The 20,468-nt window shown below is 35.6% G+C and overlaps 2 protein-coding genes across 3 annotated transcripts in view, besides 1 other annotated feature; both read right to left on the bottom strand.

The window, feature by feature from the left end:
* Nucleotides 1-20,468, bottom strand: part of OR52N4 (olfactory receptor family 52 subfamily N member 4) — a 29,487-nt gene that overhangs the window by 6,634 nt on the left and 2,385 nt on the right. Inside the window, exons 2-4 of one of the 2 annotated variants that reach the window (XM_017017711.3) lie at nucleotides 15,090-15,143; nucleotides 13,294-13,329; nucleotides 526-557 (exon numbers count right to left, since the gene is read on the bottom strand). The gene's annotated coding sequence lies outside the window, so the exon portion shown is untranslated. The remainder of the gene's footprint in view (nucleotides 1-525; nucleotides 558-13,293; nucleotides 13,330-15,089; nucleotides 15,144-20,468) is intronic. The other variant, XM_017017713.3, reaches the window with a different exon arrangement.
* OR56B1 (olfactory receptor family 56 subfamily B member 1) lies at nucleotides 10,802-12,877 on the bottom strand. The gene has a single exon (NM_001005180.3). It carries the CDS (start codon nucleotides 12,806-12,808, stop codon nucleotides 11,834-11,836), a length of 975 nt encoding a protein of 324 aa, NP_001005180.1. The 5' UTR covers nucleotides 12,809-12,877; the 3' UTR covers nucleotides 10,802-11,833.
* Nucleotides 14,960-15,160: a silencer, noted in NCBI's record as "peak1182 fragment used in MPRA reporter construct". NCBI's record gives its function as "represses an SCP1 promoter by STARR-seq MPRAs in K562 erythroleukemia cells {active_cell/tissue: K562}" and the evidence as "EXISTENCE:reporter gene assay evidence [ECO:0000049][PMID:32103011]".

Here is a 20,468-nt window from a genome sequence, read left to right as displayed (position 1 = left end):
GATAAATGATAAACAACTGAGATATACCCAAAGCTCCTCTTCACTTTATCTTGCTGACTACAGAAAATAAATTTTGTCACTATCCCCTCTTTTGCATATTTTTAGTACCTTCGTTTCTGGATAGCAGAACAGTGATCTGTAAACGCAATCTACTCCAGGTGTTAACAATCTTGGTCAAAAAAAATTCACAATCCTAGAATTAATATATGTATCCACAGCTATCAGCCTATAAATTCCTTTATGTCTGAACTATTGAACTGAGCCTTAAAAAAAATACATGTTATGTGTCCCAAGGGGATATTTAAGAATCTCAGAGACACAGATGTTGGTGTGAGAATCAAGATAACCTCTATGGGAAGAGGAGAAAGAACAAGAACTTTCCATTCTCAGTGTCCAAATAATGATACGTATATAAGCAAATAATCCCATATGTGTGTGTTTGTGTATTAGAGTGTATATATGAGTCAGGGAGAGAATGAAAATGAACACAAGTTATTTTAGTAAAGACTAGGATTTAATACTTACTGCAGATTAATGTTTTCTTCTTCTCCACTACCCTATGGGAAAGATATCAAAAGCACAGAAGTAGAGAATGTTTTGTTCATTCATAAACTAATCCATTTTTAAAATTTTTTTATATTAATGTATCATTTTACTTCTTTCAATTAACGTTTATTTAGAACTTTCTGCTTTCCACAGCAGGCTGGGAACTATGCAAATATGGCCCCTGGTTCAAAAAGTTTATTTTTTTAATAAAATTTTTACTTTTTCAAGTGAGAGAAATGAATTATGAATAGTTGGGTGTTCTAAAATGTAATCAAAAGTTTAAACTTATTACACTTATATATTAAATTAGGAAAAATTAGAGGAATATACAAACCTTGAAATAATCATCATTATGATACAATAATTAAAAATAATTATTATTGCTAAAAATAACTGATTATAAATTATATCCATTTTATGAAAATAAAAATAATAACATATGCTAACTTGAAAAAACATAACGGTATTTATAAGGAAATTAAAAAGCACTCATAGTTCTAACACTTGAAGTTATGGTATAGATTTACCTTAATTAAAATCCTATATATGTATTGCTATGCATTAACTATATATGTTTTAACAAAAATCATCATGTTGCATTATAGCATAAATATTACAATTTTAATTTAACATTATAAAACTAGTCCATTTCAAAACAGAATTACTATAGCTGATTAAAAGTTCATGTTAGATGTGTGTGATTTATGTAACAGCTTGATCTTATGTATGTAGATCCTTTCAAAAGAAAAATATGATAAATGAACATGGGTATGAAATTGCTGTGACATTTCTTACCTGATATTTTCCTCAAAATAGATTTTTATTATGTATTAGGGTCCCCATTTATTCATGACAATAGTTATGTGCCAAGTTGATAAGATACAGTTGTCTAATTGTCATTTAACTATGCTACCTTAGTAAGTACACTGTATTTAAAAATTTTATATTATTGGTTTTAATGCATTGTGACAGTAGTTACTTGTAGTATTTTCCTTTATTTTTCTTTACAGAACTTGTTGATGGTATTGAGTGATCTCATTAACAAGAATAAGATCTGGATTGGTTTAATGTTTTACACGTGATTGAGAAGAATAAATATTGTCTATGACTGGGGTATAGGCTCAGTATATATTCACAAGAAATGCCTCATTTATTAGGTTTACCGATTTTTTGTGTTCCTTTTTTAATTGTTGTATAAATTGTAGATGTTTATCATGTACAACACGATGTTTTGAAATATAATATATATATACATATATATACACATACATTGTGGAAAGGCTAAATCAAACTAATTAACATATATGTTAACTCAATTGTCATTTTTGTGGTGAGGACATTTGAAATCTCCCTTATTGCCCAAGAATACACTACATTTCTATGACCTGTAGATATGATGCTGTACAATAAATTTCTTGAACTTATTCCTCCTATATAACTGCATTTTTGTTTTATTTTATTTTATTTATTTTTTTAGATAGGAGGTCTGTCTATTTTGCAAAGGCTGGTTGGCCTTGAAGTCCTGGTCACAAGCGATTCCTTCCCCTCGGAATTCCAAATAGCTGGAACTAATTTTGTTACCTTTGACCAATGTATTTCAAATCCTCTCTCTCACCACTAACTCAGCTTCCCCAATAGCTGGGACTACAGGCTTAGCACCACCATACCCCATATTTTTTTTTTTTTTTTTTTTTTTTTTTTGGTATTTTTACTACAGACAGGTTTCACCATGTTGACCAGGCTGGTCTCCAACTCCTGGTTTCAAGTGATCCGCCCATCTTGGCCTCCCAAAGTGCTGGCATTATAGGCATGAGCCACTGTGCCCAGCCTATCTCACATTTTCTTTATCCTGTCATCCATTGATGTACATTTAGTCTGATTCGCTATCTTTGCTATTATGAATAGTGCTGAGATAATCATACAAATGCAGATATCTTTTTTATGTAATGATTCATTTCCCTTATGGTAAATACAGAGTAGTGCAATTGCTGGTGGTTCTAATGGTTCAAACTGTGGTTCTAATTTTATTTATTTGAAAAATCTCCATACTGTTTTCCATAAAGGTTTCCTAATTTACATTCCCGCTCACAGTATATAAGTTTTCTCCATGACAAAATCTGTTGTTTATACACATTTTAATCACAGATATTCTGACTGGTGTAAGACAATATCTCATTGTGGTTTTAATTTGCATTTCTCTGATGATAAGCAATATTCAGTATTTTTGCATATGTTTCTTGGCCACTTGTATATTTTCTTTTGAAAAGAAAGAGCATATACATATGTTTGTGTCCTTTGCCCACTTTGGAATGGTGTTATTTGTGTTCTTGTTGAGTTGCTTGAGTTCCTTGTAGATGATGGATTTACTCCTTTGTTAGATGCATACTTTGCCAATATTTTCTCCCATTCTGTAGGTTGTCAGCTTACTCTCTTGATTGTTTCTTTTGCTTTGCAGAAGCTTTTTAGTTTAATTATGCCTCATTCATCTATTTTTGTTTTGATTGCATTTCCTTTCAACAACTTACTCGTAAATTCTTTGCCTAAATCTCCAGAAGAATTTTTCCTAGGTTTTCTTCTAGGATATTTATAGTTTTAGATCTTATGATTAAGTCTTTAACCTATCTTAAATTAGTTTTGGCATATAATGAGAGATAGAGGTTCAGGCTCATTCTTCTACCTACAGCTATCCAATTGTTCAGCACCATTTATTGAATAGTGTGACCTTTCCCCAGTGTTTATTTTAGTGACTTTGTCGAAGATCAGTTGGTCATAAGTATGTGGCTTCATTTCTGAATACTCTATTCTGTTTTACTGATCTATGTGTCTTTATTTATACCAAAGCTGGGTAAGGACACACCAAAAAAGAAAATGTTGTTACCATGCATTTTGGTTACTATGCTGTTTTGGTTACTATAGCATTGTAGTTGAAGTCAAGTAATGTGATGTTACCTGATACCATGCTGTTTTGGTTACTATAGCATTGTAGTTGAAGTCAGGTAATGTGATGCTTCCAGATTTTTTTCTTTTTACTTAAGATTGCTTTGATTATTTGGCTCTTTTTTGGTTCCATGTGAATTTTAGAATTGCTTATTCTAATTCTGTGAAAAATGATATTGGTAATTTGATAGGGATCACATTGACTGTGTAGATTGCTTTGGGTAGTATGGTCATTATAACAATATTGATTCTTCCAATTCATGAGCATGAGGTGATTTTTCATATTTGCGTCATCTAAAATTACTTTCATCAGTGTATCATAGTTCTCCTTGTAGAGATCTTTCACCAGCATAGTTACATGTATTCCTAGGTATTGTATATTTTTTTCTAGTTATTGTTAATGAAATTGAGTTCTTGATTTTGTTCTCTGCTTGATTGTTATTAGTGTATAACAATGCTACTGATCTTTGTACTTTGATTTTATATCCTGAAATGCTACCGATGTCACTTTTCAAGTCTAGGAGTCTTTTGGATGAGTCTTTAGGGTTTTCTACATATAAGATCATATCATCAGCAAATAGAGATAGTTTGACTTTCTCTTGTTAAATTTGGATGCCTTTTATTTATTTCTTTTCCTTGATTGCTCTAGAGAGAGCTTCCAATATCATGTTGAATAGGAGTGGTGAACATGGGCATCTTTGGCTTGTTCCAGTTGCTGGGAGAAATGATTTCAACTTTTGCCCATTCAATATGATGTTGACTGTTGGTTTGATGTATATGGCTTTTACTATTTTTTAAGTATGTTCCCTCAGTGCCTAGTTTGTTAACAGTTTTTATCATGAAGAGATGATGAGTTTTGTCAAAAGCTTTTTCCACATGTATTAAAATGATTATATGTTTTTTGTTTGTTTGTTTGTTTTTGAGATGGAGTCTCACTCTGTTGTGCAGGCTGGAGTGCAGTGGCACAATCTTGGCTCACTGCAACTTCTGCCTCCCAGGTTCAAGAGATCCTCCAATCCTCCTCTCTCAGCTCCCCTAGTAGCTGGGATTACAGGCATGCGCCACCATGCCCAGCTAATTTTTGTATTTTTAGTAGAGACAGGGTTTCGCCATGGTGGCCAGGCTGGTCTCGAACTCCTGACCTCAGGTAATTCACCCGCCTCAGCCTCCCAGAGTGCTGGGATTACAGGCGTGAGCCACCACACCCAGCCTTTTGTTTTTAATTGTGTTATGCCCATATGTTAGGCCTCAGGGGCATATGGGCATGCATTTGTTGAACCACTTTTGCATTTGTTGAACTACCTTTGCACCACTGGAATATGACCCACTTGATTGTGGTGCATTATCTTTTTAATGTCCTGTTGGATTGTCTTGTAGTATTTCGCTGAAGATTTTTGTATCAATTCTCATCAGGAAGATTGGCCTGTAATTTTCTTTTTTGTTGCGTCCTTACCCGGCTTTGGAATCAGGGTGAAACAAGCATCATAGAACCAGTTAGGGAGGATTCCCTCCTCTTCAATTTTTTGAAACAGTGTCAGTATGATTATGACTAAATCTTCTTTATATGTCTGGTAGAATTTGATTGTGAATGCCTCTGGTCCTAGGCATTTTTTGTTAGAAGATTCAGTTGCACTACTTGTTATTGGTCTGGTCAGTATTTCTACTTTTTCTTGATTGAATCTTAGGAGGTTGTATGTTAACCAGAATTTATCCGTCTTTTTTAGGCTTGCTAGTTTGTACCCTCAGAGAGGTTCATTATAGTCTCTAATAATCTTTTATATTTCTGTGGCATCATTTGTCATATCACTTTTATTGTTTCTGATTTTGTTTGTTCAAATTTTCTTTTTCCTTCATTAATCTTGCTGTGGTCTATCAATTTTGTTTATCTTTTCAAAGAACCAACTTTCCATTTTCTTTATCTTTGTATTTTTCTGTCTCAATTTCATTTATCTCTTCTCTGATATTTGTTCTTTATTTTCTTATCCTAGCTTTGGGTTTTAGTTGTTCTTATTTGTCTGGTTCCTTGAGGTACAATGTTAGAGTTTTAAATTAAAATCTTTCTATATTTTTAATGTCGGCATTTAATGCTATAGACTTCCCACTTAAAACAGCTTTTGCCATTTCCCAAATGATTTAGTATATTGTGTCTCTATTTCATGTGTTTCAATGTTTAAAAAATTTCTGCCTTGATTTTGTTGTGTATCCAAAGATTATTCAGAAGCAGGTTGTTTGATTTCCAAGTATTTGTATATTTTTGAGACTTCCTTTTGGTATTAATTTTTAGTTTAATCCACTGTGGTGTAAGAATATGCTTGATATTATTTCAGTTTTTAAGTTTATAGAGACTGGCCTAGCATTTGAGCAATTTTTGAGACTGTTTCATGTGCCAACAGAAATATACAGAAATGTATGTTCTGTGGTTCTTGGGCAGAATGTTCTGTATATGTCTGTTTAGCATTTAATCTAGAGGGCAATTTAAGTTCAGAAGGTTTTTTTGGTTGATTTTTTTGCCACAGTGATCTGTCTAGGGTGGTCACTGGTGTATTGTAGTCCCCTCCTGTTATTGTATTGTTTCTACCACTTTACTTAGGTCCAATAGTATTTGTTTTGTGAAACTGGTTGCTCTGATGTTGGATGCATATATGTTCAGAATTGTCACATTGTATTCTTGAATTGATTAACATTGCACAATGTCTTTCTTTGTCTTATTTCACTGTTGTTTATATAAAGTCTGGCTTATATAAGTATAGCTAACTACTCCTGCTTGCTATTGTTTTCCATTTGTGTGAAACATCTTTTTATACCTTTTTGCTTTGAGCCTGTGAATGTCTGTGCTCATTGGGTGCATTTTAATAGGCAGCACATGTTTGAATATTGTTTTTAATCCATTTTCTCAGTTTATATGTTTTAAGTGGAGCATTTAGTACATTCCTGTTCAAGCTTAATATTAATACATGAGATTTTGTTCTTGTCATGATGTTCATTGTTACCTAATTGCTTTGTAGTTCCATTTTTGTGGTTGCTTTAGAAGATCTATGAGTTTTTTACTTTCACTTGTTTTTTTATTGTCGCAAGTATCACCCTTTTATTTTCTTGTTTAGAACTCCTTTGTGAACTTCTTGTAGGGCCAGTAGAGTGGTGACACATTTCCTTAGTGTTTGCTTATCTGGGAAAGACTTATTTCTCCTTCATTTACAAAGCTCAATTTAGCAGAACACAAAATTTTTAGCTGGTAGTTTTTTAGCTGGTAGTACTTTTGTTAAAGAAGACTAAAAATAGGACCCCAGTCCCTTCTGGCTTGTAAGATTTCTGTTGAGGAGTACTTTGTTACTCTGACGAGGTTTATTTTATAGGTGTTTTGATGTGCCTCTTTTGCTGCTTTCAGGATCTTTTCCTTCATATTGGCTTTAGATAGTCTGATGCCTATATGCCTTGGTGATGTTCATCTTGCAAAGTATTTTTCAGGTGTTCTCTGAGTTTCTTGTGTCTGGATATCTACACCTCTAGCAAGACTAGAGAAATTTTCCTAATTATTTCCTCAAATAAGTTTTCCAAACTTTTTATTTATTTCTCTTCTCCCTAGGAATGCCTATACCTCAGAGGTTTTATCATTTTACATAAACCTATGTTTCTCAAAGGCTTTGTTCATTTTTTAAATTTTCCTTCCTTCCTTCCTTTTTTCTGTTTTTCTTTCTTCCTCTCTTTCTTTTCTTTCTTTCTCTCTCTTTCGTTCTTGTTTGCTTGCTTTCTTCTAGGTTAATTTAAAAACCCGACTTCAGTCTCTGAAATGTACTATTCTGCTTGGTCTCATTTAAAGCTTTCAACTGTATTTTGTAATTCCTTCAGTGAATTTTTGGTTTCAGAAATTCTTTATTTTTTAAAATATCATCTACCTGTTTTTCAGCTCCTCCATTCCTGCTTTCTTGTGATTGCAGATGTTAGGCGTCACCCTTGTTGGCTGCCTATTAATTTGCTCTTAAGGACACCATTTCCATAACTCCCTACAGGTGAAGCCTCTTTGGCAGCTAGTTTACCCTTGCTGGTTTTTAAGTAATTGCTGTCCCCTGGCTTCTGGCAGTTATTTGCCTCAACTTGCTATCTGTTACTTCAAAGGTCTATCACCCCCACAACTACTAGACAATCCAGCTCTTTGACTGTCTCTCCTATCCTCACACCTGCTCTGAAAAGGAGAGCCATAGCTGAACATTTTAGTAATACTGGTGCCCCCACTCATTTGTGCATTCATTGGTGAATGTTGTGTTTTCTGGGGCGTTCCATAGAACATACTTTTCTGGTGACTCTTTTGGCCTCATATAATATGTCGATTTCAGCATCCCCAGCTGCTTCATCTTTGCATTGCCCAAGTGCAATGCAATGCCCAACTGCCAGGGCAACTCAGGCATTACCACTTGACTCATCATCGTCCATCACATTCTCCAGGCTTCTAAGAGTCACTGTCACAGTGAGTCTGACCCATCTCCAGGAATTCTGACCAGGGTGTTCAATACAGTGTCCACAATAATTTTCCCAAGTCAAAAAATTATTGCTTATTCTCTATGTTCTTATGTCTTAAGATCTTATCCTCTTGATTAAGCTCCCTTAATTTTCAATCCCCTGGATTCTTGCAGCTTGTTCATGCTGTAATCATACTGGAACTTAACCTTAGTTACCAGCCTGACAATGTAGAGAGGGCAGTAACCATAGTCTTGTATGAGAGAAACTTCTTTATTATCTTCCTGCATAAACTCCTTTATTATCTTCCTGCATAAACTTCTTTATTATCTTCCTGCATGAGAGTGTTAGCTCTCATGTTATAAATAAAGGAGTGAGCTAGTTTGCAAAATACATCTTCAAGGTCATCCTTTCAGATATCCACATCCCATGTTTCATTGCCCCAGATTTTCTCAACCAGAGTGCACACCTTGGTATAATAGTTCTGTCTTGTTAAGCATTAAACAGTCATGGAGTTCTGAGATGCAATTTTCTTTTTCTTCTTTTCTTTCCTTTTATTTCTTTCTTTTAGTACAGTGGTTCCATCTTGGCTTACTGTACGCTCCACTAGGCTGGAGTGCAGTGGCACTATCTTGGCTCACTGCAAGCTCCACCTCCCATGCTCAAGCGATTCTCCCACCTCAGCCTCCTGAGTAGCTGGAACTATAGGCACGCGCCACCACACCTGGCTAATTTTTGTATTTTTTGTAGAGACGGGGTTTCCCTCACTGCCCAGGCTGGTCTCAATCCTGGGCTCAAGAGACCTCCCTTCCTCAACCTCCCAGAATACTAAGATTAGAGGCATGAGCCACTGCACCCAGCTGAGACTCAAATTTCATGCCCAAGTGTACTCCCCCGCTGTTGTTACCCTTTTTACTTCAGGAGATAAGAGCATCTTTACAAGCTTTGCAATCTATCACACTTCATTTTTACTATTTGTTAACTGCCTTCATTTTGTCATTATTACTCTACGTGGTTTCCATATAGCACAGCAGTAATCAGTCGACTCCACTATCTTTCCTGCCATTGTCCACCCCTCCACATACCTTTCAAATGCCTTAAAGAGTTGAACCAGCCAGGGCATTTCCCTCCACAAGGGTGTTTTGTCACATTACGATTGGTAAAATTTTCAACAATTGAGTCAATTCCTTGTACTAGGGGATTAAATGTGTCCCGTATTGTATGATTTCACTCCTATTATGATCTGTGTTGGGTTTAGTCCTCTACAAAGCAGACAACTAGATAGGACTAGTCATCAGATAGGTTTATTGGGGGGAAAATGTGAAATGTAAAGGATAAGAAGGGAGGAAAAGATTAAGAGAATCTTTAAACCATGATGCAGCTCTGACAACCAAGAAAAGAGAAAGAGAAGGAAAGATTGCCTAAGAAAAGTATCAGCCCTCAGTGCAGCTCTGAGAAAGTCTTAGCCGGGCCAGTTCAGAGTCCTCATGCAAAAGTTGACCATTAAAGGAGTTTCATTTCTGGCCAGAATGGCCTAGCTCTCGTCCTCTTACTGTGTCTGGTCACTGTCTGGGAGCAGCCAAGGGAAGCATGAGCTTTGTGTGAAGGTGCAGATGCATCTAATGGTGTAGAAGCCAGAGGATGTCAGTCAACAATGCTACTTATATCAGGTTCCCTTGAAGGGACGTGTGAAAGGTGCACACACATTTTTAAATTTTTTAATTTTTCTAGGCTGTAATATGTAAGTTATTCCTGCTGGAATAACATATCATCTCATTTAATTTCATTGAACTGCCCACTTATCATGGTTTTTTTTTTTTTTTTTTTTGAGTCAGAGTCTCACTCTTTCACCTAGGTTGGAGTGCAATGGTGTGATCACAGCTCACTGCAGCCTCAAATTCCTGGGATCAGGCAGTCCTCCCACCTCAGCCTCCCGAGTATCTGGGACTATCAGCATGAGCCACCATGCCTGCCTAATTTTATTTTTATTTATTTGTATTTTTTATAGAGATAGGTTCTCACTATGTTGCCCAGGCTGGTCTCAAACTCCTGGCCTCAAGTGATCCTCCTACTTTGGCCTCCCAAAGTGCTAGGATTACAAGTGTAAGCCACTGTGCCCAGCTGATGATTCTTATTTAATATGAACACTATCTTCTTGTAACTTTATAGAAAATGTCAAACATAAATTTTCTTAAATTATCTTAATGTTCTCAACTATATTGTTAGTAAAAAAAAAAAAGTAGTCTTATGAATACAAAGGGCATGGAGTCTTTTCTCTTCATTAATTTTTAAATGAAAAAAATTGAAGTTTGTGTGAAAGGCCAGACTAATAAGAAAGATACATTATATTATTTTCATTTTACCTGAAAACTGATAGGGTTTACTTTTGAAATCTAACTGGAAGAGGAGTTGACATTATATAATGTATAACAGACTTTCTAGCAACTGGTATTCCTGCACCCAAAATTAATACTCATATTTCAAGGAATGTCCTAGCTATTTAATGGCATTAATCTGAGCATGTGTTTAATGGAAAGTAGCCTGGAAAAGATTGAAATACAAGACAATAATAGATTAAGCCTTATTTTGCCCATTCATTGTTTAGGACTATTTAAAAAAAAAAGAAAGAAAAGAAAACTCTCAAAGTAAAAATTTCACAGGGAAAAATTTCTATATCGACCTCCTGCCTGCAGTGTCTTTATATCTGATCATCTGAAGATTTTGCTGAAGCTGCCTACATTCTTATGTGGGTGTGGTAGTAGTAGTGGATGAGTAGCTATGGTAGAGATAGATGCTGGTGATATAAATAAAGCCAGTGAGTCAGTCAGGGTCTCAGAAAGGGAAAAAAAAAAGGCACAAAGAAATGTGAGTTTGAAGACAATTTAATGAAGTTGGTATTGAGTAGTAGGTTGTTTAAGAAAACAAGTGGATATTAAAAAATAATGGATGCTGGGCACTCAGAGACTACTATCAGGAAGCCTTTATCAGCCCCTTGGCCTGAAGAAAGAAGGCAAGACAAGCCTGTTACTATATTTCCATAAAAGCTGTAGCTGTAGCAGGTGGGTGGCCAGAGAAGGGACATATCCAGTGAAAACCCTCATGTCAAAGCAGGCTGGGAGTAGAATAATAAATAGCCCAAATGCTGTCTCCTCTTGAACTATAATCTGTCACGCATCACATTGGCTCAATTCAACTGAACACCGAAAGACAAAGGAGTTTGGGCTTACAATATGTGAAAGTCAGCCCTCCAGTTTACAGAGCAGTGCACAAAGGGCAGACAGCAAATCTGGGGAGGCAAACGGCGTAAGCACCAGATCCTTCTAGCTAGATGAATCTTTTGGGTTCTGTCTGTCCAAGCTGAGTCATCTCATATTCCACATAAATCCTCATCATTGACTGATTTGGCTTTATCTGAATTATTTTCTTTTCCGACCTCTGTATTTCATATTACTGGAGTAATGCTTGTTTAGGCAGACTGACTTTGCTCCCAAGTTACAGCTCCCAAGTTACAGCTAACAATGCGCAAGCATGACCTGTGATTCATGTCCCAATCACTCATTTGTCTGATTGAATGTATGTGTGTCTGTGTGTGTATTTGTGGGTGTGTGATTATATTCATTTTTATTTTAAGAGATAGATATCAATCATTAAGTTCTTTAAATCCAATTTGATTTGGCAGAAATTTCTTCCATATTCTCAAATATATTTAAATATTTAGCTTTTGTCAATATTTTAGGCTACTGTGATTTTTTGTATCTTTTCTGAAGCTTTCACAATTATTTACATACAAATATAAAAAGGGAATCCCAAAGGTATTCACTTACTCATTTATCCTCTTTGAAATTTTACTATCCAGTTTAGGAGAAGCTGAGGTTCATGTACATCATGGAGAAGGTCTCTAAGATCTTATTTCTTTTGTAAGGGCAAACAGCACCTTTTGGAAGGCTGCCCTAAGTTCTTTGGTCTGAAGTGCATAAACTGTAGGGTTGAGGGAAGGGGGGATGATGTTGTGCAACACATTAAGTAGAACTGGAATCAAAGTAGCCTTCATCTCTGTCAGATGAGTCACTGAAATCACTACAACAATAGTGTAAAAGAAAAGGATGAGGGTGAGATGTGAACTACAAGTGCTCAGGGCCTTGGCTGCAGCTTCAGCTGAGTTCAGTCTAAGTACAGAGTACAGAATCAAAATATATGACAGTATAATAAGACTTAGATCACTCCCCATTCCAAGCCATGCCAGAACCAACTGGCAAATGCTGTTTGGCCTCCTGTCATCACAAGCCAGGCTTGTGACCCCAAGGTTAGAGCACAGGCAGTGTTCAATTTCATTCTTGGAGCAATAATCACGCTGTGCTGCAAGCACAGGCACTGGAGTGACAAATAAGCCATTTCTCAGCACCATGAACAGGGTAGCTTTTAAGATTAAGGAACTGGTGACAATTGATGGATAGCGAAGAGGGTGACAAATAGCCACATATCTATCAAAAGCCATGCAGAGTAGGATACCAGACTCCATGCCCACAAAGAAGTGAATGGCATAAATCTGAGCAAAGCACTCAGGGAGGCTAATAACCTTGGCATCAAACCAGAAGATGGCCAGGATCTTAGGGATGATAGTAGTGGCCAGACCCATGTCTACCATACAGAGGATGCCAAGGAAAATATACATGGGCTGCTGTAAAGAAGGGTTCTGCCAGATGATGATGAGGATGAGGGTGTTTGCAGCAAGTGCTGAGAGATACAGTAGTGCCAGGGGCAGAGATAGCCAGTGTTGCCAGCTGTGAATGCCCGGGAATCCCAGCAGGATGAACTCAGAGACCTGGAATTTGGAGCTATTGGAGATTTTGAGAGATGCAGACATATGATTCATGATTCAACATGAATTTCAAATCTCTATTTGTATTGTTCTCAGTTATCACAGGTTGGAACCACCACAGAAATAAAATTGTAGTATTTTTCTAAGCCTTTCTTCATCTCTTTAGAAATTATATAGATTAAATGGATGTGCTTGTTTTCTTCATATTTATCTCAGTGTTACTTGACTTGATGCAGAGGTTTATTAACTAATAATAACTAGATTTTTTAAATGAAGAATTATGGGAGATGAAATTTATAGCTACATCATTTCAAGTTGATATAGATGTCCATTAACGTCTTACATAGCCTTTCAAAATTTTGATATCATGGACTTGTAAAGGTTTCCAGAAATAAATTATATTGAGGATTTGGGGATAGTTTTCTTTCATGTTCTATTTTGTATGCACTTCTGAGGAGGTTGCAAAAGAGTAGCTTAAAAGGAAGTTAGTGATTATGGCTGAATTTCTCCATATGAGAAGTCATATAATGAAGACATACCTTAGTAAGTTTTTTTATAGTTGAATCTTAGAGAACCTATAAAGACATAAATACAGGATTTAGGTAAAACTAATAAGAAGCTTTTAAAGATTCCTGTGATAACAACACAATATTAGATCAACTCTATTCATTTTTTAGTGAATACAGGCACAATGTTGTACAGCTGGTCTCTAGAACTTATTCATCTTGTACAACTAAAACCTTCTAACCATTGAACAGTAATTTTAACTTATTTAACAAACAAGAATTATTTGTCCATAATGTTGAAGGAATTGCCATTCAATGCTCAAAAATCATGGTTAAAATTAGACTCATTATCTTTTCTACAACTTTGTTGTTATCCATTTACTTTTTATTCTGCATGGTGGCTCGACCAGACAAGCTTGAATCTAGAAAACTAACCTTCCCTTACTGCAAATAATTGCTTATCATATTGTTGATTTCTTTTCTTTACTTCATTCATATGCACTCTTTTTTTTCAGTATGCTTTCTGCAACCTGCCTGGAGCAAATGTTTCTGATTTTCCATAATTCTTTCTTTCTGCTAGCAATCTGATCTTTCAGACACTGGTATTCCTTTGCTTAAAATAATTCATGGTTTCACATTTTCTTTCAAATACAATACTTTATTATTACAATCCTTTATTTATTTACCATTTATTATTTATTTACTATTACAATCCTTTATTTTGCATAAAACACTCTCAGATATGACTCAAACCGAAGTGAATATAATCTCTTGCTTTGAACTTCTTTGTATTTTACACTGCAGATACATATAATACTTACTCTATGCTAAAATTAGTAATTTTTCAAGGCATTTTATTTCCAATATTTTTGCCATGGTGGAAGCTATTGCAGGTTTATGAGCAAGAAACAAAAACTGGAAAGCTATGTTCAAAGGTTAAAATGTTATTTTTAATATATTAGTTATGGGTTGATTTTTGATATAATTATTGTTAAATACCAAAAAAATCTGGAAGAAAATAAAATTCTTTTGTTGTATCAATTCTTATTAAAAACTAAATGTATTTCCTTTCAGAGGTTTCTTACTGCCTGTATGTTTGAATAAACATATACTCCCAAATGATGGAGTAAATCATCCTTCTTTAATGGTGAATGTAATTTGATAAAGAGTAAAATTATCTAAATGTATCTACAGAAAATTTCAATGACTAAAGAGCACAAGCAATAATGGAGGTAAAGCTAGTTTGACTTTGAGCTTTTAGAGGAGAATTCTGAAGGGGTTCAACACAATAGTTTTATCCTGGATGCGTGGAAGTATGTAACCCATTTGATGTACAAGGCCTGGCATTTTTACTTAATACTCATTTATTACTTTACATCCTAATATCACATAACATTTTATCTTTGATGTTTTCTCTATTAAAATTTTTTTCTGATTTGTATATGTGTGATACAATTAAGAGAAGTAGTATGTTTGAGCTCACAGAAAAAGAATTGTTTTTAATTTTTTTTACAATTATATTCTAGCATGACATAGAATACGATTCTGCTATATAAAACAGTTAATATATTAACCCTGAAGATAATCTGGCAGTGTTGTTTTTTGATTACAGACAAGGTAACTTCTAGTGCACCATGTGAGCCTTAATATTTTCTAATTCTGACTTCAACCTTTTTTGGAAAGGCCCTCTAATCCTCTATATGCTACTAAAACAGAGAGAAATGTCAATCTTTTTGCAGAATGTTGACAAAACAACATAATGTTTAGGATAAGCCATTGAACTCTCTGGAATTTAGCCAAAGTGACCATGAGAAGATTTTATCACTTACCTTGCTTATGAACACAGACTCACAGTCTGGGATCCTAGGCGTGGCAGAAGTTTTCTACTGGGCAAAGACAGAACTTTATGAGAAAGATGCTTTAACACAAGATAAAAATGTGTTGTCAGCTAAGATGTGGCACAGAAATTATAAACTTCTGAAATTTATGGAGAGTAGTAAAGCAGCTCAGTGACCTAAGCATAATAGATCTCATTTGCAGACATGATGAAAGACCTATAGAGAAAGCTGAATTCCTAGGATGTTAAATCCCACTAGAATAGAAAGCAGATTAACTCAAAAACATGTATCCTATTAATGTAACCTAAGAATTTACATGAATAGAAGAATATCTTCATTTATTAAATCAAAATGGACCTATAAAGGTGAGAAATTTTAGAGTGTTTGAATGGTTTTTAAGCACACAAACTCTGGGTGTTCTAAATTCTGTGGCTAGGAGATTTATTTAAACATTTTTAAAGGAGAAAGCTTTCATTCAAAAATACATATTTAGTTCTGTCTGTGTTTGAAAAACATGTTAGGCATAAAGTGATCAATAGAACAGTCATCGTTCCTGTTCTCATTGAAATTGTGGTCTAGTTGAGGTGGGGGGAGAGAATAATAACAACAAAATCAAGCAAATATATAATAATAGACTGGGATTAGTGCTTTAAAGCAAAAGTACCAAGTGATAAGAGTTCACATGAAGAAAAAAATAATCTCTTGTTGTCAGAGAGGATATCCTGAAAAAATGTTTGTTCTGAGGGCAATTGTTTGAGTAGAAGATAACTATGGTGTGTGTGTTGGGGTGGGGATAAAAAAGACTTTTTATCCAGGAATCTTTGAATGTTAAAATGAGAGGGATCAAGGCATAGTCAAGGTAACAACAGAGTGTTACAACAATGTGTCTGGTAATCTCAGTGTAACAACAAGGTAACCTCAAGGTGACAACAATGTGTCTGGAAACCTCAAGGTGTGGTGGAACATGGGAGGTGATGTGAGATGGTGCTGTTGAGGTCATAGTGGTCAGATAATTTTAAGCAAATTTATGCTAAAGCAATATGGAGCCACTGAAAAGGTTTAGGATAATTTAGGCATGGCAGCAATGTGAAGACCAGATTGTACATGGCAAGAATAAATATAAGTAAGTTGGATGAGCACTGACAACAGTACTTCAAGGGTGAGACAGCTTTATTTTAAGCTATGAAGATATAGAGAAATGGATGGATATAGAAGTTATACTGGATGTAAATTTTATAATATTTATGACCCCAAAATAACTCTAAGTTTCTCATACATGCACTGGAATGGAATATGTCATTCATGTACCTAAGGATGACTGGAGAAGAACCAGATTATAAGGGAAGAGAATGAGTTCAAATGAGGTCATGACCAATATGAGGTGCCTACCTTTGAAGCATCCAAGAGATTATTATTTAGCAAAGAGAGGAAAAAGTAGTTCCAGAGAGCAAAGGAACAATTTGAGAAAAACTGGAGTGACTAGTATTTTATTTGGAAATTACTGGAATATTTGAATTAATGCTATTAGCACAAATAGATGTTTTAGCAAGTGAGGATAGTGACAGAAAGAAGGTGGTCTAGCATGTAGTTTCTAGAAACTCATCATGATGTCTAGGTAAATGTTGAGAAAGAAAAAGAGACCGAAAATAACCTATATAGGAAAAGACAGATTGATTTTTAAAGAAGAAGGCAAAGAAATTGATTCATAATTTTACTGTACTGACAGATCTAATGAAACATAGTTTAAAGTAATATTGATGGATTCAGTCTCTTGGAGGTTACAAATGACTTTTTGAAAAGAACTGTCTATTTTTGGAGTGCATAAGAAAAAGTCATATTGGAGTGGGCTAAAGAGTAAGTTAAAGGCTAGGAAATAGAAAAATTTATGCACATAACATTTTAAAGAAGTTTGTACAAACAAGAAAATGTAGGGCAGAAGTTGGAAGTTTAGAGTTGGAAGTTGGGGTTTAGAGTAATTTGTAGTAGAAAGTAGAATGGTGGTTACCAGATGCTGAAAAGGATAAAAGGTGGGGAACTGGGGGATGCGGAGATGTTGACCAAAGTGTATAAAGGTTCAGTTAGACAGGAAGAGTAAATTTTCAAGAACTATTGTACAACGTGGTGACCACAGTCAATAGTAATATATGGTATGTTTCAAAATTGCGAAAGAATAAATGTAAAATGTTCTTACTGCAAAAAAAATAACTTTATGAGGTGATAGTTATGTTAATTAGACTGATATAATCATTCCACAAAGTATACATATATCACAATATCACATTGCATCCCTTATATATATTAGTCAATTAAAAATGAAAATATACATCAAAAATAAAAATTAAATTTTAAAAAGCATTTCTTGTTTTAAAATCGGGAAAAATAATGCATCTTTGGAGGTTGGTATGAACTATTTGGTAGAGAGAAAAATAGATTGTTGATAAGTCAGAGAGAATTGGATAAATAAGAGCATATGGTTGCTGAAAAAAGGAGGGGTGATGAGAGCCACTTTCCATGGCTCACATGGCAGGGACCTACCTCAAATTGGAAGAATGGTACCTGTCAATTAACCTTAGAAAATGTGGTTAAATGTTTGCCTATGTAGGTAGGTGTGATATAATACATTTGTTATGTTTAGTTAGAGGAAATTAAGAGCTACCATTTGGTAATGTTTTAGGGAAATGTTTGGACCAAGAACAGGAAGGAAGCTGCAGATTAATGAGAAACTTATTTTTAATGTAGAGAAAAGGCTTACAATTCTGAGACGTACACAACAATTCTGGAGGTGCCAGAAAACCCTTTACTGTATTACATCAAATAATAATTCGATATTATCACAATTCTTGCCTCCCCTGCTGGTTTCTCTGCTTTCTTCCAGTAAACTTCTTGAACATACAAAATGCTTAAAGAAGCTCATTTACAATGAATGAGAAGTGGATAAGATGTAGGAACTTATCCGACCCTCAGCAACTTAGAGCGCTTAGACTGCAGAATATGAAGTAATAGAGCAGTAATTCCTCAATGTCCTTTTCATAATCTGCCAAATATGTGAGTCCATTAGTCCAGTGCTCACTTAGAAAATGATTCTTCCTGAAAGTTTTTAGTTTTCATTGCTCTTCAAATTAGACACTATGACTAAATTCTCTATTAACTGAACAGTATACACGAATGGAAGGGATGAGGCTGTACCTTTTGACCATCCTACATTGCTTACTCTTACAAGGAACAGATTCCAAATACTAATATAATTTGAAGTCTGCTTATAGTCAAGGTGAGTTCAAGATGATATCATCAGAAGCAAGAAATAATGACAGTGGGAAGGAATTAGTTAAGCACACCATCGGTCATAATTGAAAGAAACAAAAAGGCAAGAGAAGTTTCCTAATGCAATGAAGAGCACAGTGTTTTCTGCATAGACATCTAGTTGCTGTCTCCTGCAGGAAGCCCTCTGCCTTGACACTGTTCTGGATTTTCAGCTCTTCCTTTCATGGTCCCCATTGCTATGGACTTAGATTGGAATGAGTGAGAAGTTAGCCAAAGATGGATCTCTGAGAAACACCAACATTTAAAAGTCAGGTTCATTAAAAATAAAATAAGGGGAAGAGGATGAAAAACATTAGAGACATGAAAGAAAAGCTGGGATTGTGTGGGATCATAGAAATCACAGTGGATAGATTTTGGAGAAGTAAGTCATAATATAACACAATTTAAGGTAGTTCTGTTAAAAATGGTTACTGCTGGCCGGGCGTGGTGGCTCACGCCTGTAATCCCAGCACTTTGGGAGGCTGAGGCGGGCGGATCACGAGGTCAGAAGATCGAGACCATCCTGGCTAACACAGTGAAACCCCATCTCTACAAAAAATACAAAAAATTAGCCAGGCATGGTGGCGGGCACCTGTAGTCCCAGCTACTCAGGAGGCTGAGGCAGGAGAATGGCATGAACCCGGGAGGCAGAGCTGGTAGTGAGCTGAGATTGTGCCACTGCACTCCATCCTGGGCACCAGAGTGAGACTCCATCTCAAAAAAAAAAAAAAAAAAAATGGTTACTGCTGGCTTTGATGACAGGTATTTCTCTGGAAACATCAACTTCTGGTTGAAGTTAGATTGTAATATAAGAAAAGAATAGGACATAAGAATGCAGCAATAATTAGTTCCAAAAATATTTTTCATGAACTTTCATTTAAAAAAAATCACTAAGGTTATGAGAAATTTTTCTATGGGGCAAATGTGCCAGTAAATTCAAATGGGTTATAAACAGGAGACATCCAAGAAGTAACTGATAGTCTGGGATCCCAAAGGCATATTATAAGAGGCTTTCTTGAGAGGAAAAAGAAATTGGCAATAAATAAATATAGCAAGAAAGGAGGAAATAATGGCTATACACATCAAAAGTTTATATGAGGATTATAATTGGAGACAGTTTATTCCTTGTCATTTCATTTTTTATGGAATTGAAATCAATGTAATATTACAAACATGAGTGGCCGGAGGTGTATAAGGGGTTGATCATGATATAAACTTATTATTGTAAATCATAAAAGGTGAACACATAGACATCTAGCATTGAGATTCACATTAAAGTGAGAAGTTATGAACAAGCAGTGCTTATAAGTATATTGCTTACAATACACTTTAGAAACGTTCTACAAAGTATAGAAACCCATGATACAGTATAAGATTGTTACACAGTTGGGGTTGTAGGTTTCTGTGCTAGAAAAATGGTCAATTTGGAGAACACAAAAGTAATTTTGTTGATGAACTGTAGTGTTAGAATTGTATATAAATCTTAAAAATCTATTAAGAATATCTCGGCCGGGCACGGTGGCTCACGCCTGTAATCCCAGCACTTTGGGAGGCTGAGGCAGGCGGATCACAAGGTCAGGAGATCGAGACCATCCTGGCTAACACGGTGAAACCCCGTCTCTACTAAAAAATACAAAAAATTAGCCGGGTGTGTTGGCGGGTGCCTGTAGTCCTAGCTACTCGGGAGGCTGAGGCAGGAGAATGGTGTGAGCCTGGGAGGCGGAGCTGGTAGTGAGCTGAGATCATGCCACTGCACTCCAGCCTGGGTGACAGAGCGAGACTCTGCCTCAAAAAAAAAAAAAAAAAAAAAAATCTCAATTTAAGGATTAGATACATGGACACAGGAAGGGGAACATCACACACCGGGGTCTGTTGTGGGGTGGGGGTGAGGGGAGGGATGGCATTAGGAGATATACCTAATGTAAAGGACGAGTTAATGGGTGCAGCACACCAACATGGCTCATGTATACATATGTAACAAACCTGCACGTTGTGCACATGTACCCTAGAACTTAAAGTATAATAAAAAAAATTGAGGGTTAGAATAAAAAAATTAAAACCAGTGACAGC

The sequence above is a fragment of the Homo sapiens genome, chromosome 11 (genome assembly GCF_000001405.40).
Source record: "Homo sapiens chromosome 11, GRCh38.p14 Primary Assembly".
Classification (NCBI taxonomy): Eukaryota; Metazoa; Chordata; class Mammalia; order Primates; family Hominidae; genus Homo; species Homo sapiens.
This window is presented reverse-complemented; position numbering and strand designations above follow the sequence as displayed.